Below are 25324 nucleotides of genomic sequence, written 5' to 3'. Positions count from 1 at the left end.
TCATTTGGAGGAGGTATGTTTTTGACAAATTGAAGGAATTATACAAAAGTTTCATTTATTCTTTAGGGTGACCCTGGGAAACCTGGAGAAGCAGGAAATGCTGGAGTTCCTGGGCAGAGGGTAAATATACATTTTCTGCTAAAGAAAAATAATGTAGGTACTATTTAAATTATCATAGACTCACCTCACAAATATCTGTGTGTGATACTAGGGAGCTCCTGGAAAAGATGGTGAAGTTGGTCCTTCTGGTCCTGTGGGCCCGCCGGTATGTGATTTTTGTGTGTGTGTGTGTGAGAATATATATATACACACATTGCATTTTTTCGATGATGTTTGTTCAAGACTTATGGGTAAGTTTCAGGGAAAGTGAATAAGAATGTATGGGAATGAAGAATTTCTGTTATACCTTCTCTTTTGATTTCTGTGAGATAATGTCTTCTGCCTTTTTAAATATAATGATTGATCTTTTTACTTTAAACTTCTGTAAAACTCTGACTGCAAAGGTTTTTATATGTCACAGTTAAGGACTATATCAACTGAAGAAAACAGTGTGTAACAAATATTTTATAAAATATTTTATTTAAAATATTTAGATACTCAATTATTTACCTTCTCTCAATAATGCATCTTATAAAAATTTATGTAAGGCCGGGCATGGTGGCTCACGCCTGTAATCCCAGCACTTAGGGAGGCCAGGGTAGGTGGATTACCTGAGGTCAGGAGTTCAAGACCAGCCTGGCCAACATGGTGAAACCCTGTCTCTATTAAAAATACAAAAATTAGCCTGGCATGGTGGCATGTGCCTGTAATCCTAGCTATTCAGGAGGCTGAGGTAGGAGAATCACTTGAACCCGGGAGGCGGAGGTTGTAGTGAACCAAAATTACACCGTTGCACTCCAGCCTGGGTGGCAGAGCAAGACTCCATCTCCAAAAAAAAAAAAAAAATTATTTAAGGTATTTTTTAGGACATAAAAGGAATAATACTTATTCTTTGAGGTCTATTTTCATTTTAGGACTTTCAAATGAAGTGTTTATCCGAAATATTTTGGCATATTTTTTTGGGGGGGTGGGGCAGTTTAAATCTTTCTAAAATGTTAGCTTTGCTTTCTTTAGTCATTCTGTTTTTGAAGTCTTGATAAATAATTCTTAAGACATTCAGAAATAAACTATAATAAAAATATTATGTTTTTAGATTACATATACAAAAGTAATGGGTTTTCCTATATTCAATCCAATTTCCCCATAAGTTTACAATTGGCTCCAGACATTTAAGTTTGGATCAAAAAATAAATACATGTTATCAGTTACTGGCTTTAGAAGATATTTTCTCACCTCCAGAGACTTCAAACAATACCATTTGGTTACTATTAATACTAGTTTATTACCTGGCTAAAGAGAAAAACATGTGATTGGAAGAAATACAAATAAATATCAGTACTTCTAGTGGTTCACGTAGAGAGGAAGCAGACAAAGATCTGGTTATATTCACAATTATTTTCTCCTTCACAACTTAGGGTCTAGCTGGTGAAAGAGGAGAACAAGGACCTCCAGGCCCCACAGGTTTTCAGGTATGCACTAATTCGGTTTTCCATTTCATCTTCCATTAACTAAAATGCTTTTTTTTTTTAAAAAAAAAGATATGGTCAGAAGATTTGAAATTCTACAATTTTCAAAAAGTCATCCCTCTTTTAGTAGATAGTATAGACATTTGGATAAAATCGAACATTTTTGTTCAAAGTAAAGGAATGGGCTTCTAAAAAAACTGATCAAACCTGCAAATTATGAACAAAACAAATAAAAAATAACAAAAAAGTAATAAAAAGATATCAGGAATAAAATGTTTCTGATAGCTCAACAAAGTTTATGAAACCATTTTAAGGCTGATTTTGTTTTATCGGCACAGTGACTAGAATTTTTTATTGAACAAAGTTTCATAATTTATCTACATATATCAGTATGTACATTATTTAATAGGAGGAAGATCATAATTTGTAAAAAAAACTTTCTGGACTGACTTTAAATAATATTCTAGCAGTCTAAAATATTGTTCACAGAGCCATAAAAACTCTATAAATATGAAGAAGCTCCTGTTACATTATCTCTTTTTTTGCTAAGTGGTGTGCAGATGAAAATACAATCCTATAAATTGACTAGCTGTTGTGTTTTATTGGTAGTCTTTTTTTAATGCTTCTGAACAATATTTTTTACTTAAAATGTCTGAACAATATATTTTCATTGAAAATATAGTCTTGGAGACCCCATGAATTGTAAAAGGTAAACTGTTAACACTGGTAGCCTGTTAAACTTACACAGATTCACAATTTTATTTTCTTACTTTTGTTTTAGGGGCTTCCTGGTCCTCCAGGGCCTCCTGGAGAAGGTGGAAAACCAGGTGATCAAGTAAGTGTTTAAATAATAATAATGGCAACACTATACATTGCTGGCTCAATTATCACTTTTTATGTGTGAGGCTCTGTTGTGCTTTCCTTTACATACATTATCTCTTTGAGTTCTCAAAGCAGCCCTATGTACTAGGTACTATCATTATCTCCATTTTGTAGATGAGGAAAATGGGGCATACAGATGTTAGATAACTTTCCCAAAGTCACACAGTTAATAGATTTGAACCCAGGTCATCTGCTTCCCAAGATGTGTTCTTAACCACTTTATATAAACAGTTATGGACAAATACTAACAATTTTATTCTGTCGTTTTCCTGGCTCATAGATTTATTTATTTTTCTTTGAATGATTCATTTGTTCATTTAATCATTTAATAAATATTTGCTGAACACTCTGTGTGCTTGCCTCTACAAAGCACTGGCCTGAACCAGCTGAACAAAATGGATTTGGACCTTGCTGTCCTTACAGTATAGTAGGATTCAGAGAGTATAGGACAATTACAATAATAGCATGCTCTAAATGCTATAATAAGGGAGGTACTATGTTTATGGAAACAAAAAAGATGCACCTAAATAAGACTTGGGGGTTTTAGGAAAGGTTTTCCAGACAAAGTAATATCTTTTATGAGATCTGAGAGATGAATGATGATAATGATGAAGGAGGGAAGATAGGAAAAACCTCCAGGAAATGAGACAAGCTTACAAATCAGAGTGGGTAATGTAATTTGGGGAAAATAGAAAGGGGGCTGCAGGGTGACTCAGGGGCCTGATTATGGAGGGCTTTAATTTGATTCTAATTTGTTCTTCATCATTAGAGTAATGGGAAGCTAAGGAAGAGTTTTTAGGCTGGGCACAGTGGCTCACACCTGTAATCCCAGCACTTTGGGAGACTGAGGCAGGTGAATCACTTGGCATCAGGAGTTCGAGACCAGCCTGGCCAACCGTCTGTACTAAAAATACAAAAATTACCTGGGCATGGTGGCACATGCCTGTATTCCCAGCTACTTGGGAGGCTGAGGCAGGAGAATCACTTTAATCCAGGAGGTGGAGGTTGCAGTGAGCCAAGATCATGCCACCATTGTACTCCAGCCTGGGTGATAGAGCGAGACAACGTCTCAAAAAAAAAAAAAAAAAAAAAAAAAACCAGAAAAGAAAAAAGAAGGGTTTTTAAGGAAGGAGTAATATGATAAGATTAGGGAGATCAGGCCACAGTGAGGACAGTCCATTTCGGAGAATAAGATTGGAGGCCTATTTGATAAAGTTATCTTTATCAAAGAAAGAAATTTCAAATTGACAAACTTTCTTTTATGTAAGAACAAACAAACTTTTAATTTAGACATGACTGCACTGGTTTGAATGCACAATACCTAGTAGAGTGCTTTGTCCATATTATAGGCTCAAGAAAGATTTACTTAATTGAGTAGAATTGGATTGGTTCTATTTAAAAGACCAACTCTTTAGCCCTTTTTATATAACTTTTCTTTATTTAAACTTTTTCATCTTCCATTAGTTTAAAAAAAGACATTTAGCATGTATTTTGTTGCCTCTAAAAAACTAATGCTCTATCTTTGTGAAATAGTACTTTGCATGTTCTCATTGCCAAAAATCAAACATTCAGGTATAATACAAAGTTTTTTGGAAAAATGTTTTCATCTAAAACATGTAATATTCCCTCATTTATAAAAATATACGTACTTTTCTTTCTTTAAATTGTTGGCTTATGCAGCCTTCTAATGGCACATTAATAGAAACTAGGTGTATGAACTGGAAAGTTTTCTGATAAATGCCTAAACTCAAAGCTCTTGTTCCATTAAAAAAAAAAAATGTGTTTATAGGGTGTTCCTGGAGATCCCGGAGCAGTTGGCCCGTTAGGACCTAGAGTAAGTATTTTAATCTTCATGATTAATGTTGTTTCCCACTGGCTTCAGTTTTAAAAGGTGTCTTTTAAAATCTTAAACTGGGATTTATTTTAACCTATAAATTCTTTGACTGGATAAAAATTAATTTTATGAGAAATATTTTGTGCTATGAAACTAGCATATCCTTACTTCAAATTTATTTCTTATCACTAAATTAGAAAATTGAGATTTAGTAATGTCTCATTTCTGAATTTTTCCGCAGTAGAAGCCATTTCTCAGAAACATTTTGACCTATTTTTAGATCAAGTATTGAGATTATTTGACATCCCAATTTTGTGCTAGGGAGAACGAGGAAATCCTGGGGAAAGAGGAGAACCTGGGATAACTGGACTCCCTGGTGAGAAGGGAATGGCTGGAGGACATGGTCCTGATGGCCCAAAAGTAAGTGTCATAGTGATCTCAGTGTTTTAAAATGCTTTAAAATTACTGCTTAATAAACGCATGATGGTGTGAGAATGCATTTGTCTTGTTTTTGAAAGATAATTTGATTATATCATTTTCTTCTTCCACAAATATTTAATGAGCGCTTACTAGGCTTTTTCCTTGCAACTAAAGTGTCAGCTAAAAAGAAGACTCTCTTCTTTGATGGGGATTGTAGTTTAGTGCACATGGTGATAGACTTCCATATACAAACACATTTCTAATGTTTATGTACATTTTATTAGTGGCTTCTATGAATAAACAGAGGAAAGAAATAGAAAATTACATAATTTATTAGGAGGCTTTTCTAATAATATGCTCCATTTTCCTTGTCTCAGGTTTCACAATTCTGCTTACTACATATGTGAAAATATGGAACTTTTAAAATCTGAAAATATAATGCATCATAAGGCAGAAATGTGTGCCATTTAGTGATTGGTAGAAAATAATGTGGCCAACTTCAGTATAAACAATTGAAGTAGAATTTTTCATGGTCATGTGACATGAGACCCCTTATTATTTTCAGGGTTTAGAGTGATTGATGCAGTCTACTACAATTTAGACACTATATTAGCCTGAAAACCAGGTTAATATCAAATATCAGTTTCATTAAAGAGAGAATGAAATATTTCTCTAAATGTAATGTCTTTCTTTCTTAATATATTCCATTATGTTGCCAACAGAGGGAAAAAAAGGCAACTCTATCCTTTTTATTTGAAATAGCGTTCAATTGCCTCTTAAGAGAAAAGTTAAAAATATAAAGCAGCAATCAAAAACAAAATCTGGTTTTTTTAATTTCAAAATATCAACTCACTCAGAGACAACTTTCTCAGATGAAAAATATAAGCACTAAGTTGAACTACATGAAATTGCTGACAACTACTTTTGACCCACTAAAAAGCAATTTCATTAGTTTAATCTTAATATTATTGGTATGGTCACTTAATGTTGGTTCATTTTAGGGCAGTCCAGGTCCATCTGGGACCCCTGGAGATACAGGCCCACCAGGTCTTCAAGGTATGCCGGGAGAAAGAGGAATTGCAGGAACTCCTGGCCCCAAGGGTGACAGAGTAAGTCCTTTTTTTTTTTTTTTTTTTTTCAGTTCATTTATTCAGACTTTCTGCTGAAAATGAAATGATTTCTTGAGCAGGCTTTTATTTCTACCATCCTGAGTCACTAGTCATTCATTTTTCATTCTTCTAATAAACATTTACTGAGAAAATGCACAGTGTGAGGCACCATCCCAGGCTCACCTGGATACGACTAGGAAAATGACAATTAGCCTTCACTCTCATGAAACTTACACACAAGTGTGGGAAAGAGACAATTAAATGAATCAATTGTATTTTGTGTGTTTTCCCAGGGTGGCATAGGAGAAAAAGGTGCTGAAGGCACAGCTGGAAATGATGGTGCAAGAGTAAGTGAAAGTATTCCTTTTCTAGCTGGGCTAGGAACCAACATTACAGTATCATATGAGTTTCCCTGAACCTTCCAAAATAAAGTCAGTCATGTTTCCTTGGTAGTCAGGAGTTGGAGAATAATGGCATGTGAGATCTGCTGTGATTCAACCACGGTTTATTCATTTTGCTTACCCTGAATTAAATGAAACTTAAATAAAAACATATTTATTGTGCCTATGAGATAAGTGCCTTAAGGGGATGGGGGCCCTCTTTATCTTTCTCTATCATCTTTTTATTTCATACACAAGGTTTATTTCTGTTAAAATGCTAATCTAGTGAGCTGGCCAATACTTCATTCCAGCATAGACAAGTAGAGCTTTGTGGAGTCACCAAAGTTGTGATAAATGTTTCTCAGTATATTGGATGTTGGGGTGAGAAATTTACTGCACAGTGAATCGTCATTAATGTTATCATTAATAAACAGTTTGAACAAGCAGAATGTCCAGAAGGATGGTCAACTGCAAAGCATTGTTTAATGTCATGTCAGAAATTGACATTTAACAAGCGTTAGGTCTTTGAAATTAGAATGCATTTACAATTCCAAGGACAATCAGACTCGAAGGACAATATATTTTCAGACATAAATGATTTCCTCATGTAAGAGTGGCTAGTCACAATGGCTTAAACATCCATCATTTTCTGGAATAGTACCTGATATTTGACTAATGATTTCTGTTTCAGTATGACATGGTTTGCTGTTAGTTGTCATGTGTGCCCTGGCAATTACAGTTGTAACATAATAAAAGAGAACTGCTATTTGGTTCTGCACATTGAGTCATTGTTAATACATTGGTTATAATAGCTTTAGATTAAGGAAATATAGTGAAATGTAGTAGAAAATTTTCATCTTAAGGGTAATTAGTCCTTTTTATGCAAATTTAATTAAGGATGCACCACTTCTTTTAACAAATTATGCACAAAAGATACACCTTGCCTTTTAGTTAAATCTAATATTTAATTTAATATTTCAAAAATAGTCAAGTAAATCTGGCATATTTTTAATATTTTACATCATGGATGTCCTGGAATGCATAAGTAGTGCAGTACTATTTATAGGAACGATGCATTGGCAGTTTGTTTTAAGGGAAAATCTAAAATACATATCAATTGTGCCTATGAACTAACTTTGAAATTGCAATGTGATAGGACCAGGATGTAAGCAATGACTGCTTTATTTTTAATGAGGACACTACATTGTTGCAGGAAAGAAGCAGAGCAAAGCACTTACTGCAATCTCATAGTAGGGAAAAAATGAATAACATGTTTTCTCTGTATAAAAAATCTATAAACATAAGTAATGAAGTGATATTTATATTTCATCAAATCCTTTAAAGAAGTATATTACATAAATTATTGGAATGATATCATTCCATTGTAGATCCAGAGACTATAAGAACACAGATTTCTTATGTTCTTGTCAAATCTATAAAATTAAAGTCATTTTTGTTCCTTAAGTTTCTTTAGTTGTACATACAGAAATTAAACGATGAAAGAATATTTGGGCTGCATATGAAGAGGCAAGACACAGTTATAAGATAGAGAACTTGTTTTAAAGAGGACTTCAATATTCCCACAGTTTCAAGTTTGTGATTACCTGTCAAGAAGACTCAGGTTGTGTCCCCATGTGTTAGCTGTACTGTCCTCTAAGTGTTAGCTCTCCTATGCCCATAAATCTCAAAGTAGCTGGGGTTTTAGGCTGTAAACTTTAGCTACTTTTCCTTTTCATCTCAAAAGAATGAAGAAAACTGGCTGGGCGCGATGGCTCACGCCTGTAATCCCAGCACTTTGGGAGGCTGAGGTGGGCGGATCATGAGGGCAGGAGATCAAGACCACCCTGGCTATGGTGAAACCCCGTCTCTACTAAAAATACAAAAAATTAGCCGGGTGTGGTGGTGACAGACGCTTGCAATCCCAGCTACTTGGGAGGCTGAGGTAGGAGAATGGCGCAAACCCGGGAGGCGGAGCTTGCAGTGAGCCGAGATGGTGCCACTGCACTCCAGCCTAGGCGACAGAGCGAGACTCCGTCTCAAAAAAAAAAAAAATGAAGAAAACTAAGTCAGGCATAGTGGCTTGTGCCTGTAGTCTCAGTTACTCTGGAGTCTGAGATGGGAGGATCACGTGATCCAGGGCAAGCGTTCAAAGATGCATGTGCTGTGATCACATCTGTGAATGGCTACTGCACTCCATTCTGGGCAATGTAGAGTGGAGACCCTGTGCCAAAAAAAAAAAAAAAAAAAAAGGAAAAAACACCTAAAATGCCTTAACACAATTTCAATTTTTAAAAGTAAAAAAGTGATATTTTGCTATTATAATTTAAGAATATAATATTATATGCAAAAGAAGGAAAGCCTCTTTTCAATTTGTGGTCAAATGTCCGAATAAATATTAGCAAAGCTAATTATGCTAAGAAATAGAAACATTTTTGTAGCTTAGCATTAATGTAGTGCTAATGCCTGAAAACAGTTTTATGTATGCATGAATTAGGTTGCATGAAAGAGATTAAAACACTGTGTGGAGAAAATATGGTGGAAATGGTATTAAACTAGACAGAAAACTCTTGAAAATATATAGATTATATCATTTATTATAGATAATGATTTGCAAAGGCAGCCAAATTATAACAAAATAGTCGTTTCTTTTTTGTTTGTTGATTTGCTAAGCATGAAGATTTCTGTGCATTTTTTACCTCAATATGCCTATGTTCTGTTAATTGACAGGGTCTTCCAGGTCCTTTGGGCCCTCCAGGTCCGGCAGGTCCTACTGGAGAAAAGGTAAGTCACAAGTTGTTAATTTGTACACTCAAAATTATGAGTCCTGAATAGCAGGCTCTTTCATAAATCTTTTCATTTTATAACATATGGTATCTGAGCAAGATCATTTCAGAGTTCTTTTCCACTATCTCCTCCTACACAGTGACCAATGTCCTAAAATTATGTTTAGCTACTGTTTTGGACAGTAACCATCTAAAATCTGCTTTCTAGGGTGAACCTGGTCCTCGAGGTTTAGTTGGCCCTCCTGGCTCCCGGGGCAATCCTGTAAGTGACAGTATTTTGGTGTTCTTTAGTGTGAGATTGAGCAATAAAACAATTAATCATTTTGTTTTTATATTTATATAAAACAATGCTTATTGGTTTTAGGTTATGTATAACTTCCTGGTTTTTAGCTTTTGCTTTTCTAATTAAACTTAAAAATTATCTGCTATACAATCTATTAAGTGTAGTTAGGCAGCTTGTTTACTAACTAATTTGGAGGCTCCTTTGAGACTTCTGACCTTGGGAATTTTGTTCTATGACCTATATCTTTATATAATCCTTAAGGACCTTCCTTAAGCAATATGTGTAATTTTTCTATATTTACATGTCTAACTATCAGATTTATATGATCATATTTTAAAATACTGTTCCTGTTTAGGATAATGTGTGAAAGCTACAGTAATCTTTGTCTCCTCCTAGGGTTCTCGAGGTGAAAATGGGCCAACTGGAGCTGTTGGTTTTGCCGGACCCCAGGTATAATTTTCAAATATCCCTAATTTACAAATAAACACTTATCTTGTTATAATAAGTTTAATGATCATTGTCATATGTTTTGAAGTCGTATTCTGGAAAATTTACAGTTTTCTAGACAATATTCTCATTTTCAATACATTTTTTTATAGACTGGCACAAAACTTGTTTGTGCTAGTTGAGCTTCTATAATTATTTGTTAAAATAAAAATGCAGTGGGATAGCTTATTTTTTAGGCTGTTTTGAAAGATCTCATCAGAGTACTTTTTTTCCTTTAGTATGCTTTAATACTGATTATAAAGCACTGTTTCACAATATATGATTAATTGATACATTAGTAATAATTACTCTAAAGTAATTTGTCTATAAGTCTTATAATCAATTGCTTGTTTGTATAATTTTTTATAGGGTCCTGACGGACAGCCTGGAGTAAAAGGTGAACCTGGAGAGCCAGGACAGAAGGGAGATGCTGGTTCTCCTGGACCACAAGGTTTAGCAGGATCCCCTGGCCCTCATGTAAGTTAACAAGAAAAAGGCATAACTTGAGTCAAGTGCCCCATGTTTGGAGTGTACATTCAGCCTCTTTTGCTTCACTATAGTGCTCTTTTGTTTGTTTCTATTCAGGGTCCTAATGGTGTTCCTGGACTAAAAGGTGGTCGAGGAACCCAAGGTCCGCCTGTAAGTTTATTTGATGCTCTGCAAAGTATGCACAGCTAATTCTAGTTACCTAGTGCTTCCTGGTCATGTAAAAGATAATTTTCATCTGAGACTGAAATAACAAATTATTACCTGTATCAACTGTACTATAGTGCAAAGGGCACTTAACTCAGATGGAGATTTGGGTTAAAATCAAGTTTGTAATCTTGGAGACCCAGGTGCCTCACCTGTAATGTAAGTAACATACTACCTATATAAAAGAGTAAATAAACAATGTGAAAGCACTTTATTTAATTTGATTGTATAAAATATCAATGTGATTCTAGTACTACCTGCATGGAAAAAGGAAAATAGTGCCCTTCCTACCAGTTAATCTAGATTAATTCCCCAAAATATGGGATTCGTACGAAGAAAAAAAAATATTGCTTACAACATGAAAGGAAATCTAAAGGCTTCAGTCTTCCTGTGAAAAAAAATCCCAGGAAAATACATGTAACTAATTTATATTACCTTAAAAATTGCTTATATGATATTCTGGTTCTAGGGTGCTACAGGATTTCCTGGTTCTGCGGGCAGAGTTGGACCTCCAGGCCCTGCTGTAAGTCAACTTAGTGAGACAAGTCACTGATAATGAAATAATTACACACACACGTATACATTTGAGTTAAATTTATTATTTTATTTAATTTCTTAATGGTATGTTTTCTTATTTAACAACTCTTATTCCAATAATGCATGCTGGTATTTCAGCAAAGCAAATCATCCTTAATAATCTAGTATTTCTTGGAGGAGCTAATTTGCAAGTTCTTTTTAGCCCCAATGTTTTATTATTATTCCGTTTAAATACTGAATACTTACAGTATTATGTGCTAATAATCATTCTCTTCAGTTAAGATGCAACTATGAAACTTTCTTTAATAAATGTCATTCATTATAAGATCAAATCATAAGAATAAATAATTATCTCAGAATAAAGTATTATATATTCATCATTGGAGTGGAGCTTTAAATAAGTTTGAAAATTCAAGTTAGTTGCACCACTCTTTAAAAATTATTCAAAGGGAATTGACTGCAAATGATATTTAGTTTTCCCCCTGGGGAATGAATCTACAGCTGTGTTTTCTTTTGTTTTGTTTTGTTTAAATCCTATAGAATGACTGATTATCTAACAGGTAAAATGAACCTGCGAGGCTTGGACATCTGCATCTGAGGCAGACAGCGTTATGTCAATCACTCTTACTTGCCTTCCATTTTGCCCTCCTTGGTGTTTCTTTCTTTGTTATACTAGGGAGCTCCAGGACCTGCGGGACCCCTAGGGGAACCCGGGAAGGAGGGACCTCCAGGTCTTCGTGGGGACCCTGGCTCTCATGGGCGTGTGGGAGATCGAGGACCAGCTGGCCCCCCTGGTGGCCCAGGAGACAAAGGGGACCCAGGAGAAGATGGGCAACCTGTAAGTTTGGCGTATCCGTTCCAGACCACCTTCAACTGAGATATTTACAAATAGAAACCCATAATGATCAGTGTCACAAAAATGCTTAAATATTATGCTGGGCACATTCCTAAAATTTTTAAAGTGCATTAAATCTATAAGGCTTTAGGAAAAACGTGTATATATATAGATTTTAAAAATAGCAGTAATAGATATGGTATCTAAAAACTAAACCCAAAAAAATTATTTGTTAAATGTTCATTGTGTATGAATAACTTTAAAAATATATGTATATTATATTTTATATGCAAATGCCTTTAAATATTGTGTTTAGATAACTCTTTTTTCCTTATTGTTAAACTTTCTTTTTGTCTTTTTATAAAGAAGAAAAAATATTTCTCTGAAGTTACCTCTTTTATTGAGTCAGTATTCACATTAATCTTCAGTTTCTTTCCAACGGATGAGCTGTTTTCACCTTTAAATAATGTTAGAGGTTCTGTGCGGATTACAATTTATGACTACTCATATGCAGTATGATTTTGAGAAACAGAGAACTTCTTTTTCATACTGAAAAACCTGTAAAGCTGTACCCAACTTATTGTAAATTCCTTGGGTACAGTTTTACCCTGGATAGTTTCTGATTTTAGTTTGTCCTCAACATTAGGGTCCAGATGGCCCCCCTGGTCCAGCTGGAACGACCGGGCAGAGAGGAATTGTTGGCATGCCTGGGCAACGTGGAGAGAGAGGCATGCCCGGCCTACCAGGCCCAGCGGTGAGTAGCTGCATCGGTCAATATTTTATCTCATATGTGCAATACAAATTGTTTAGAGAATTGATTTTATTTTTTTTGCTTGATGAATAGATTTAAACAGTATTGTAGGGACATTAATTTTTGAGTCTCTTAAAAATCTTTTGATCTTAAATGTCAAATTCTTAACTACCTTACAAAGTCTTTGAAAATATATATTTGTTTAACCCTGAGACTAGAAAAGTAGGCAAATAAGGATATGGATTTTTGGTGACCTTTAAATCCTTCTTCAAAGATTAAAAAGATCCCGGAGCTAGAGGAGGGGGATAATCTTCTGGTGAATAGGTAGTGTCTTTTTAAGTAAACATGCTTAACAAAAATACCATATTTTACAGTAAACCATCAAAGGGAAGACATAGTTGAGCTAAAGTAATATTTGAGGTGAATGTAGGGGGAATGCTGAAGAAGGATCTGAAGGTAATCTCCTGTTCCCTGGAGGGTGCTTTAGGATTTTATATTCCCTGGAGTATGGATAAAAGTTTGATTCAAAGTTAGCTTTGAAGAGACTAAATTTTATTGCTAAAAGATTACAGTGCTTGAAAAAAATTAATGATGTTTTCATATGGAATGTAGACAGAGAGATGTATGGGATCTTAGAACTGGGAGACATGTGGGTTGAAATATGAAACCAACAAAGTAGGAGCTAAGGGATGTCTTATTGTTATCAGAAGTGAGCCAAGAATGTGAAAGTAAAATCTCTCAAGAGTGAGATCAAAGTATCAGAATATAGAAATAAAATGAACAGACAAAGCAGAGCGGGGAAAAAGGATGAAAGTGATGCAAATTCCAGAAGGGCAGCTAGAATCACCTATGGTACACATGATTAGAACCCAAAATGCACACCTGTGCTGGTGGCAACAGATGGTTGGTTTTTGGTCCCTTAGATACGTCAAGAGGAGTCTGATAGGAGGTGGGCAGGCCTCTAAGAAAGCATTATGATTACATGAGTGTTGTAAGATAATGCAAAATTATTATTATAGAAGGAGCCCAGAGGCACCATTTTGAAAACTTAGCCTTTATGGGAACTAGCGTTCTTCAATTTCTTCACAAGTGTTTGACATTTATACTTCTATTTCAGGGAACACCAGGAAAAGTAGGACCAACTGGTGCAACAGGAGATAAAGGTCCACCTGGACCTGTGGGGCCCCCAGGCTCCAATGGTCCTGTAGGGGAACCTGGACCAGAAGTGAGTACTACAGTGAAAATAACTCTTCTCTTGTTATCTGGTGTCATGGAAACAATTTTTTTCATTTAGCAATTGATTTAGAATTTTATTGCATATTTGACCTTAAGAAAGTTTCTTAGTAATGTTATTTGATGTACTCTACTTCCCTAGAGAGTTGGCTAAGTGATGACATAAAGAAAAGGTAATAGGATCGGTGTCTTTGCACTGACCTTCATCTAGTCTGGAGCTAAGTATTTTAGTTCATTTAAGCTGTTGCCAAACTGTTTTGAGGGTGAAAGGACACATCCATTCATCTTTCCCTTGTTATTATTTCATTTTGTAATGACATATTTATCAAAATTGCCAAGTTTTTTGGTGATAGGATTAATATAGCTATTCCAGCTTGTGAAAAGGGCAAAGTTAGTAGAGATCATTTTACTTAAATATCACTATAAAGTAACATAATGGATATCATGTTCCTTTAGGCACTTTTGGGAGGAAATCAGTTTTTGATAGGCAATTTGAGAAGTTAAAGGCTGGAATATCCTCTGTTCAGGATTTTAAGGAGTGAATCATCAAACAGTTAATGTAACATTTTATTGAAAGAAAGAATCAATAGCCTTTGGAACAATTTTTGATCAAATAGCAAAGACATATTTATGAAAAAAATCACAATAAAATAGAAAAGGAAGACTATTTCTTAAAGTAGTTTAATATTGAAACAGTTATTTTATTTCAAAACTTTAAGGATATTTGAATAATCTTAAGAAGTAAATGTAAGAAAAGCCTTTCATTGTTAATACAAGCAAAACATAAAGTGGCAAGAATGTAATTGTTATCTATTTCAAAATATTTGTGGGTTTTTTGTTTTTCAAAATAAGAAATATAAATGAAGAATATGGATTAAGTAAGAATATGTTAATTTTACAGTAATTCAAAATAATGAAAAAGAGGTAGAAACCGTTCTTCTGCTGACATTTGCATAAATGCTAACTGACAGTTTATAAAACACAGGTGTAAAACATGCTGTCATTTTTTGACAATTGGAATGAGGATTTTTTTCATTACTCAGTTAAGTAGTTTTTCAAACCATTATTCTTTATAGGGTCCAGCTGGCAATGATGGTACCCCAGGACGGGATGGTGCTGTTGGAGAACGTGTAAGAGCCATTTCACTTATTATAAAATCTAAAGTCATGCAAATCTGAAATCTTTTTAATTTACACTAAAAACTGTCATTTTTCCTGATAGTTCCAATACACTTCTGATTTTTCTGAATAACAACTGTTTCTGTAAAGCCATAATTTTTATATCTTGTAAATGAAATGATATTTGAATATGCAACAAATTAAGATGGTATTTTTTCAGAGCAGGAAGATAAAATTGAAGCCATCTTTGGTTTAACATAAAGGCTTTGGATGAGGATATATATGAAGTGTTCTAAATTTTAAACTCATTAACAAAAGCATGAAAGCCAAAATAGTGCTGTGTAATGTCTAAATTTTTCCATTCACCATCTAAAGTGAATGCCGTATGAGAATATAAGCCATGTGGCTTTTTAAACACTGTATATTCCATGATGTGTTTTAAATTAGAATGTGCTGAACTGAACATGTCCCCAACTTTCTCTGAAGCCCCAGTCCCTTCTGGCAGTTGCACAGTCATCTCATGCTGCTGAGATGGGCCACTGAAGGCAAAATCACTCCCCACTCCAAAGTCTGTTATGATGTAATTAAAGCTCATCATGTAGCAGAATGGGCTTTGGAGCCAGTCAGACTTGATTTGGAATATTGTTTCCCTAAGTAATTAGCTGTGTAATCTTAAGCAGATTTTCTGAACCTCCATTTTCAAATGCTTTAAATATAATTAATACATATGCCATTGGGCATTTGTATATTAAATGACATGTTTAAACACTCCACTACAGGATAGACACTCAACCTCATATTGAAAAAAAAGGGGAAGAAAGGATTTGGAGGAAGCTTGGGCTAAGTCCCGCTCATCTACTATAATCCACAGACTGCAAATTCTCTTGGCAACTTGGGCTTTTTCCTTTGTCAATATATACTATATAGTGCAACCATCTTCAAAGGTTTTGCTGAAGTAATTATGAAAATCGGTAAATCTCTCTACTTATTTTAAGTTGCCATCGCCCTTTTAAAATCACAAGTTTAAATAGTTGCAAAGGAGGTGATTCCTGGTAAATTCTAAATGTACAAGTGCTTTAAGTATTTTTTTTTTTTTTTTTGAGACAGAGTCTTGCTCTGTTGCCAGGCTGGAGTGCAGTGACACGATCTCGTCTCGCTGCAACCTCTACCTCCTGGGTTCAAGTGATTCTCCTGCCTCAGCCTCCCCAGTAGCTGGGACTGCAGGCATGTGCCACCACACCCAGCTAATTTTTGTATTTTTAATAGAGACTGGGTTTCACCACGTTGGCCAGGATGGTCTCGATCTCTTGACCTCATGATCCGGCCGCCTTGGCCTCCCAAAGTGCTGGGATTACAGCCCACTTTGTGAGCCACTGTGCCCGGGCAAGTATTTTTTTTTTTTTTTCAAAACCTTGAAGTTGCCAATTCAGCTTATTCAATGTATTATGTGTCTGTTCTATAACCTAATTGCCAAAGTTTATCTAGGTTGATAAATTTATCAGTCAAATAAGACAATTTTTTGTCAGAAAATACAGTCTGACTCAATTTTTCAAGTCAAATATTTATGTTTAGACATGTTCATATAACGCTTATCTCACCTCTGACTTCTTAAGGAGACAAGTAATATTTGGAGCCTTGTCATAATTGTGTCATCTGGATAAAATAAAAAGGAGCCTCTTTATTTTCCAAATCCTTCGTAGCTTTATACTCAAGTAAACTATGCATTCTGGAAAAGTCCCTTAGTTCAGTGCCTAGAGGTATTTATTCCTTGGGACATTGCATCATAATAAGATTGCAGATGGTATGATTTCTGCTTTTCTTTTACAAAATGAGAGAAGGTGGATTATTTAGGGGAAGTAAGGAAGGATAATCAAAATATAGTTTTCTGAAAGAATACATAAGGAGAGGAAAATCTAGAAGGTGGTTTCCTTAAAATTTTCTTTGTTTTCACAGTCTTTGGAAAGTCTTTGTGTATTCCAAGTATACCAATATTCCAGCTTAAAGATTGGTGCTCTAGAAAACATGTTAAATTCTGGAGGTGATCACTCCTATACTCCAATGATCTTGACGTGCGAGCAATAGGGAGTAGGTGAGGGAAAGGATGAGACTTGAAATTAGGAAGAAATAACTTTATTCTTTTCAATTTGATTTATTAATTAATAAATATAAGTAAAATAGTTAAAATAATAAGTAAAAATAAGTTTTAAAGGGTATTTTTTCCCATTATTAATACTATAAGAATAACATGAACATATGGAATATTGTTGTTTTAGAATAAATGTTAAAAAATAATATCATGGTTATTCTTGTTAGGGTGATCGTGGAGACCCTGGGCCTGCAGGTCTGCCAGGCTCTCAGGGTGCCCCTGGAACTCCTGGCCCTGTGGGTGCTCCAGGAGATGCAGGACAAAGAGGAGATCCGGTAAGGAGGGAGTCAATTTCACACTGACAGTTTTGCACACCCATATGCTATGTTATAAGCTGCATATAGGCACACACACATAGTCATACATGTGCACTTCGTTAAGGACTCTAAATAATGAATGGTAAACAGCTAATTATGAACTACTATATGTTTCTTAGTCTGAAAGGCAAAATTTCATTTCTAAGAGGGAATAGAAGATACTGATGCTTTGACTTCCATCATCTGAAAATGCTGTAGTTTGAAAATGTAATAAGTATGCATCATGTTAAATGTCAATGAATAATGTCTTACTGTATTCAACTAAGGTGATACTTATTCAATGAAGTCAATGAATAAAATTGACCGTAAAAGTGTCATTGAAGTTATAGTGACCACAGTCTTATCTACACATGGACATTTGCCTGATTTCAATTAATTAATCATAAGAGTATGCACACACACACACACACACACACATATATATATATGCATCCAACTATAAACGTATTGTTGACATCCTGTATCTATGTAATATGTGAATATCTTTTTTACATGCCAATTTTTTTTGTTGTAAATTTCTTTTAGGGTTCTCGGGGTCCTATAGGACCACCTGGTCGAGCTGGGAAACGTGGATTACCTGTAAGTTCTCTTTTTTTGTTTTTTAAAAAATGTTTTCTTATATAAAATATACTCCCAAAGAAGTATAATTTAAGATTCATAACTGAAAAATATGAAATTCCTCAAGCTTGAACAAAAATATTAATTAAAAATTATAAGTTTACTCTTATTTTTTAAAGTAATACGAGTTTATTTTTATAATTTTAACACAATTCTTCTGAATTTAACCATGAATTATATCAATAATCATGGAGGTTTTTAAAGTCACAGGTTTCTCCTAAAATAATAGGAATTATAGTGCATTTCTCTCTGAGCTATTCTAAAAACTACATAGGAAAATGGATTTGAAAGCTCTCTGTAAACTTGAAAAGCACTATTCAAATATTATGTTTCATTTTCAACTAGATTTTTCTTTCTATGTTCTGATCTTTGTGCTATTTGCAATCAGTGACTTTCAGGTTAACATTATTATATAGATGTCTTACCATGAATGAATCATCTCATGTGTAATCTAATAGGTCATATGCTTTTCATGCCCATCAGGTAAATCAATGTCTGTTCTCAAAAAGAACAATTATACTTTGAAAATCATGGCCATATTATTAAATAATTCTCCTCTTTAATTTGAGCTTGACTGGCAAATATTTTATAGTTGCATAGCATGTCAAGTGAACAGTGTTTTGAGCAGTTATAGAAACATTGTAATTTTGTTTTCTATGAATAAATACATTGTAGTTAATAATTCAAATAGGTGCCTTCTGATTTAGTTTAGTTTTAATTATGAAACTTTGGGTCATCCCCCAAATAAAAGAACCTTTCGAACATTATGAAAAACTTCAGGCTGATTTTGATAGTATTTAAATTTATATTGTTATATAAAATATGCAAAAGCTACTGAAATCATCTTCTTTTTATTATAAATGGGTTCCTATACTGTATGATAATTAGGAAATATAAATTCAAAATCAAAACAATAAGGGAAAAATTAACCTGAGAGCCAATTGATTTGATGACTGCAGTCATCTTCCAAAGTCAGATAAATAGGGATTCAGTTATCTTTTGGGAAAACACTAAAAGCAACAGAATCCGGTTCTATAGTAGATGACTCTATGCCACTTGTCAGTTTACTGTGAACCACTCGTTCCCTGGAGCTGTTTTTAATTTCCCAGGACTTAAAACAAAACAAAACCAACACCACCACCAACAATAACAAAACATCTGAGATTGATCAGATAATTTTCACCTCTTCTCTGGGTATAGCTTCTATCTCAAAATAAGATCCCTAACTACGGCTTTCTTTGTAGCCGTAGATCAAGCTTAGCATCAAGATCACTGGATTTGGTTACAGATATTGCAGATATGGGATAACTTAGAGTTGCTTTGTTCTTTAGAGGAAAGTGGCTTAAAGATGATATTTCTGTTTAATTTGTTCAAGCAAGTTTTTGCCAATTTCTTAATATAGTTGCAGCTGTCATAGCCAGCTAGTTTATTTGCATATGTAAATTTAAAATCATTTCATTGTTACACACGGCAAGTATGAAATGTTTTAATTTAAAAGAATCTATATATGGTAGCAATATTTTTATATAATAATATCAACTAAATATGTGAAGCATAATCTTTAAAAAACATTTCAGATAGGCTAGATCAAACAAAAATATCTAATTTTAGTATGAATGTAAGATAAACATTTAAAAAATAAATCTTCAGAAAAGTATTCTTATTATATCTTTTTTCAGTGATCACCTACCATTCTTTGGGAAAAATAAACAGAAATTTCTAGGTCTAATACTATTTTTAGATAAGTAAATATATTAATCCATATAAAATACCAAGTTCAAAATTGTAGTAAATACAATTATAAAAAGTAAAATTTTAGTAAATTTTAGTCTCAACAATAATATGTAGCAAGTAATTTTCATGCCATATCTCTATTTCTAGGGACCCCAAGGACCTCGTGGTGACAAAGGTGATCATGGAGACCGAGGTGACAGAGGTCAGAAGGGCCACAGAGGCTTTACTGGTCTTCAGGGTCTTCCTGGCCCTCCTGTAAGTTATTCCTTTAAGTATTATTCTGCCCTGTAGTTGAAAATACACGGGTATCTTGACACGAACATTTATCTGTCTGTAAAATAGGTGGATATGTTTGTATCTTATTTTCAGTTCAAAGAATATCTTGATGAATAACAAGTGATAATTGCCAATAATAAGCTATAATTTTGTAGGGAAGAAATAAAGCAAAAGCTATATGCACTGTTACTCCTACAGGTGTCTTTAACATTGGTCAACTCATGTAGACATTGCAGAGATTGGTGACTTTATCAAAGTAGTTCATGCTGCTAAAGTCAATGATAGCACATTTTTGAGAATGGCACAATGCAGGATCCAAATATTTTGGCAACATTTTTTATTGTATTCCTACTTAGGGTCCAAATGGTGAACAAGGAAGTGCTGGAATCCCTGGACCATTTGGCCCAAGAGTAAGTAACAAAAAGTAGTAAGTTGCAGGTGTAAATAATAATGCCTTTGTTGATGTACTGCTAATGCTTGAGTATCGTTTTCCTGGTATTGAAGCTGGAGTTGGCTCATCTTCTCTGAGGTTGGCAACACACATATGAGACAAGCTATTTAGCAATTAATTTTAAGTAGAAATATCTTGAAATATGATATATTACCTCATGGGCCCGCAATAAAATTTATTACCTAGGGTTTGGATATATTCCTCTGTTAGTTCATTTTGTTACATTGTGTTAATTTAAATTTCTATTCAACTTTCACTTTTTGAGATGATGTAATAGCATTTACTATGAAGTGGAGACAGATTTTGAAGCTAAATATATTTTGTCTTTTAAGTAATAGTGATAGTTCCTCAGAAGTAGTTTACATAAAGCTAATTTGGAAGTAAATAATAAAATGAAGCCAATATTTGAAGCTTTTAGAAATTCTCCATTAGTATTAATGTTGCTTGTAATAAGTCATTGATGGCATAAGACAATTGGTGGACATAATTATTTAGGAAAATAGAAAATATTTTGTAGAAAAAATTAGAAAAAATAATTTAAAGAATCTTGGTATATCTGAATACAGTGTAAACAAAGCATACATAAAATTCAGAATAATAGTACATGATGGCATTCTGAGGCATAAGCACAGAAATTTCACTTAAACACTCCAACTTCTGTCATTTTCTTATTTCAAGTTAATTGAATTTCTAAGTTTACAATATGTGAGGTTTAATGAAAGTTACTACCAATAAAAGTAGGTGATTAGTCCATTAAAGATGTAAACTCATATTTGTCTTTTACCATGCATGGATGATGGAAAATTCTTATGTGATGAAATCATAAATGTTACAAAGTACCAGAAGTTCATTTATTAATCAGTAAGAAAATGAATCTTAGAAATCACTGTTACAGCTCCATATGTAAAATAGTTCTTTGATTAGAGAAAGGCATTGTAAAATTTTTCCTTCATAGAATCTAAACTACAGTCTTTGTTTCTTGCAGGGTCCTCCAGGCCCAGTTGGTCCTTCAGGTAAAGAAGGAAACCCTGGGCCACTTGGGCCAATTGGACCTCCAGGTGTACGAGGCAGTGTAGGAGAAGCAGGACCTGAGGTAAAGTCACAAAGGTTTACATGCAAGAAATGCTATTTATTCAATAGCTCAGATTCCGTCCAAGAAATGTCTGTGCAGCCCGATTGACAAGAGACTTAAGGGACCCCGAAAACAAACGTAGAAGTCACACAAGAGTATAAGTAACTATTTCAAGTATTTTAATACAGATAAGTTAGAGCACATAAAATCAGAGTCCAACCTACCCAGACATTAACATAATGTGATACTAACAAGAGCAAAGAACAAGTTATAATTGTATTTATAATTAAAGTTATGAAAATGTTGATTTGCTCTCAAGGGCAATATTTTAAATGTCTGTGAGGTATAGTTATTACTTCATGAAAACTCCATAGAAATGCTGGACAATGAAGAGTATGAAATTGAAGTTTTTCTCCATTGAAAACATTCAGGGAGGACTTTGATTAAAACTTTTTGTAAAAAGTTTCAGTAGTGTTGACTTGAGGATGATACAAAGCTGTATACTATGTTAGTTAGATCCTTGCTTCTCAGGTCTGGGAAACATCTTCATACATCTTCCATGCACAGGTGTACTCATGTGCGTGTTTGTATATGAGCTTATGCTTCTCTCTCTGGTGTTTCTTCCTCATTGGTCTTTACCTTCTCTTCCTTACTTTTCCTTTGCCCTTCATAGCAATACTGTTAAGCCAGATATTTACTTCTTATGTGGATCAAATAGTCTTATATTTCCTATGGACAAGAGATATGTTTTCTACTCATTTATTTCTCTAATTGTGAATAGGAAACAGCTAGAAAATTGGAATACCTTCAGCTTATGTGGCTGTTGATTGACTTTGTGATTCAGTGGGCCTTGATATATTAGAAAAAAGTCTTTTCTTTTCTCTTAAAATTAGTATAAAGGAACGCATGAACTCAGTATATGACCTTAGAGACAGGAAGAAAAAAAAATTATGTAACAGCCCTTTGAGAGTGAGGAAACATTGGCACTGAAGGTAAAAGCAACTTGTCTGGAGCCATATAACAAGTGGCAGAGCCAATAGTAGAACTCCAGCCTTCTGGAGAGTTCTTGCTCCCAGATCTTGCTCTCTACATGAGATGTGGACTATGTGTCTCTTCAGGTTGTCACCTGGTTCTTTCAAGTTGCTGAGTTCTTCCTTGGGGAAGTGCAGAAGGGAATTAATAGAGAGGATCCATTTCGTAGTCTCTGCCACTTTTTGTGCTTATCTCCCTCTCATTTCAGTGTGTCTTATTTGGCAAAAAAAAAAAAAAAAGGCAGGAGGGCTCTTTATTTATGTCAATTCAAAGGCTAAGGCTAGGAATACTGGGCACCTTGGCACACACCTGTAATTCTAGCTATTCAGGAGGTGAAGGTGGGAGGATTGCTTGAGCCCAGCAGTTTGAATCCAACTTGGGCAACATAGTAGCAAGACCCTGTCTCTAAAAACCAATACTATTTCTTCAGTTTTTCTTAGGACAGAGAATTTTTATCTGTACAGGAATTAATGCACATAAAAGGACTTCCTGTGTTTCTCTCCCTCTCTTTTAGAAGTAGGAGTATAATTCTCTTGTGGGTGTTTCCTGTGGGTATTTTCTTGTTATTGACATGTAATCTTATAGAACCAGCAGCCACTATTCCCCTGCATGCTTTGTTCAGCTTCATCCAAAAATAATTTTAAAACATTTTGGTTGTACCTTGACGAAAATAGTTTGCAAATGAACATACATATCTGCATGCTATTAACATAAAATATGTTGTATCTTCAAGGTAAACACCTGAGCAAATATTTTGTGCTTTGATCTTTATTTATCTTGGATGCTGACTTGAAGATATGTTTCCTGAAAAATGATTGAGCATCATTTCTCATCCTTGAATGTTACAGCCTGTTAGACCACCCCCATCTAGTTACAAAAGGGCGCGAGTCATAGATCTCCCTTTACTGTCAAATTGGAGTGTCTCATTGGAACTCCCTATGAACCAAGTTCTACCAGTTAAGTAAAACAAAAACAATGTGTTAAATGTCTTTCCAATCTCTTTTTAATTAGGGCCCTCCTGGTGAGCCTGGCCCACCTGGCCCTCCGGGTCCCCCTGGCCACCTTACAGCTGCTCTTGGGGATATCATGGGGCACTATGATGAAAGCATGCCAGATCCACTTCCTGAGTTTACTGAAGATCAGGCGGCTCCTGATGACAAAAACAAAACGGACCCAGGGGTTCATGCTACCCTGAAGTCACTCAGTAGTCAGATTGAAACCATGCGCAGCCCCGATGGCTCGAAAAAGCACCCAGCCCGCACGTGTGATGACCTAAAGCTTTGCCATTCCGCAAAGCAGAGTGGTGAGTAGACAGCAGCCCATTTGAGCAAAACCCGTTGTTTCTGATTGTTTATTCTCAACTGCATTCCAAAATATGTTACTGACTTTCTACTTAGTGATAGATTTGAGATAAAAATAGTAAACATATCATGGAGCTTATAATTTAATGGTGGAAACAGTCAATTTTGTGAAAACATGAAAAAAATGCTCAGCATCACTAATTATTAGAGAAATGAAAATCAAAGCCATAGTGAGATACCATCTCACACGAGTCAGTATGGCTGTCATTAAAAAGTCACAAAACAGGCCAGGTGCGGTGTCTCACGCCTGTAATCCCAGCACTTTGGGAGGCCGAGGTGGGCTAATCATGAGGTCAGGAGATCAAGACCATCCTGGCTAACATGGTGAAACCCCGTCTCTACTAAAAATACAGAAAATTAGTCAGGCGTGGTGGCGGGTGCCTGTAGTTCCAGCTACTCGGGAGGCTGAGGCAGGAGAGTGGCATGAACCCAGGAGCCGGAGCTTGCAGTGAGTTGAGATCGCGCCACTGCCTGGGCGACAGAGCGAGACTGTGTCTCAAAAAAATAAAAAAGTCACAAAACAGATACTGACAAGGCTTTGGAGAAAAGGGAATGCTTATACACTTATTGGTGGGAATGTAAATTAGTTCAGCCACTGTGGAAAGCAGCTGGAGATTTCTCAAAGAACTTAAAGCAGAGCTACCATTTGACCCAGCAATCCTGTGATTTGGTATATCCCAAAGGAAAATAAATCGTTCTACCAAAAAGACCCATGAATTCATGTATTCATCACTGTGCTATTCACAGTAGCAAAGACATGAAATTGACCCAGATGCCCATCAATGGTAGATTGGATAAAGAAAATGTGGTACATATATATGATGGAACATTATGTGGCCATAAAAAAGAATGAAATCATGTCCTTTGCAGCAACATGGATGCAGCGGGAAACCATAATCCTAAGCAAATTAATACAGGAACAGAAAACCAAATATCATATGTTCTCATTTATAAGTAAGAGCTAATGAGCACACATGGACATAAATATGAAACCATAAACACTGCAGGCTACTACAGGGGGGAGGGTGTGGATGGGAGCAAGGGTTGAGAAATTACCTATTGGATACTATGCTCACTACCTGGGTGACAGGATCTGTACCCCAAACCTCAGCATCATACAATATCCCCATGTAACAAATCTGCACAGGTACCCCTTGTATTTAAAATAAATGTTAACTTTAAAAAAAATGTACTATAATAGATGATATATCCTATTAATAATCCAGTTTCATGATGGTAGTTCCATTTTCATCCAGAAATCTTAAAATATTGATATTTTTGTGGAATAAAAGCATTTCGTGGAAATGTGGAAAATGCTTGCTTAAGTATTGTTCAAAATATTTATTTACTTGCATGACCTATAAGTGTCTTAATGTTAACATATTGCTGGATCATCAAGCATATATTT

General features: G+C 34.9%; 1 protein-coding gene across 4 annotated transcripts in view; it reads left to right on the top strand.

Annotated features, from left to right (window-relative positions):
• Positions 1-25324, top strand: part of COL5A2 (collagen type V alpha 2 chain) — a 409214-nt gene that overhangs the window by 377982 nt on the left and 5908 nt on the right. For all 4 annotated transcript variants that reach the window (XM_047443252.1, XM_011510573.4, XM_047443251.1 and 1 more), the window contains 24 exons: positions 67-120; positions 212-265; positions 1515-1568; positions 2347-2400; positions 4237-4281; positions 4603-4701; positions 5703-5810; positions 6104-6157; positions 8918-8971; positions 9182-9235; positions 9653-9706; positions 10112-10219; positions 10328-10381; positions 10905-10958; positions 11649-11810; positions 12454-12561; positions 13676-13783; positions 14868-14921; positions 17223-17330; positions 17898-17951; positions 19872-19979; positions 20357-20410; positions 21437-21544; positions 23567-23858. In XM_047443252.1, coding sequence (XP_047299208.1) covers positions 67-120; positions 212-265; positions 1515-1568; positions 2347-2400; positions 4237-4281; positions 4603-4701; positions 5703-5810; positions 6104-6157; positions 8918-8971; positions 9182-9235; positions 9653-9706; positions 10112-10219; positions 10328-10381; positions 10905-10958; positions 11649-11810; positions 12454-12561; positions 13676-13783; positions 14868-14921; positions 17223-17330; positions 17898-17951; positions 19872-19979; positions 20357-20410; positions 21437-21544; positions 23567-23858 — 2056 coding nt within the window. The remainder of the gene's footprint in view (positions 1-66; positions 121-211; positions 266-1514; positions 1569-2346; positions 2401-4236; positions 4282-4602; positions 4702-5702; positions 5811-6103; positions 6158-8917; positions 8972-9181; positions 9236-9652; positions 9707-10111; positions 10220-10327; positions 10382-10904; positions 10959-11648; positions 11811-12453; positions 12562-13675; positions 13784-14867; positions 14922-17222; positions 17331-17897; positions 17952-19871; positions 19980-20356; positions 20411-21436; positions 21545-23566; positions 23859-25324) is intronic.

Source organism: Homo sapiens, chromosome 2 (genome assembly GCF_000001405.40).
Source record: "Homo sapiens chromosome 2, GRCh38.p14 Primary Assembly".
NCBI lineage: Eukaryota > Metazoa > Chordata > Mammalia > Primates > Hominidae > Homo > Homo sapiens.
The sequence above is the reverse complement of the archived record's forward strand: the minus strand, read 5'-3'. Positions and strand labels throughout refer to the sequence as shown.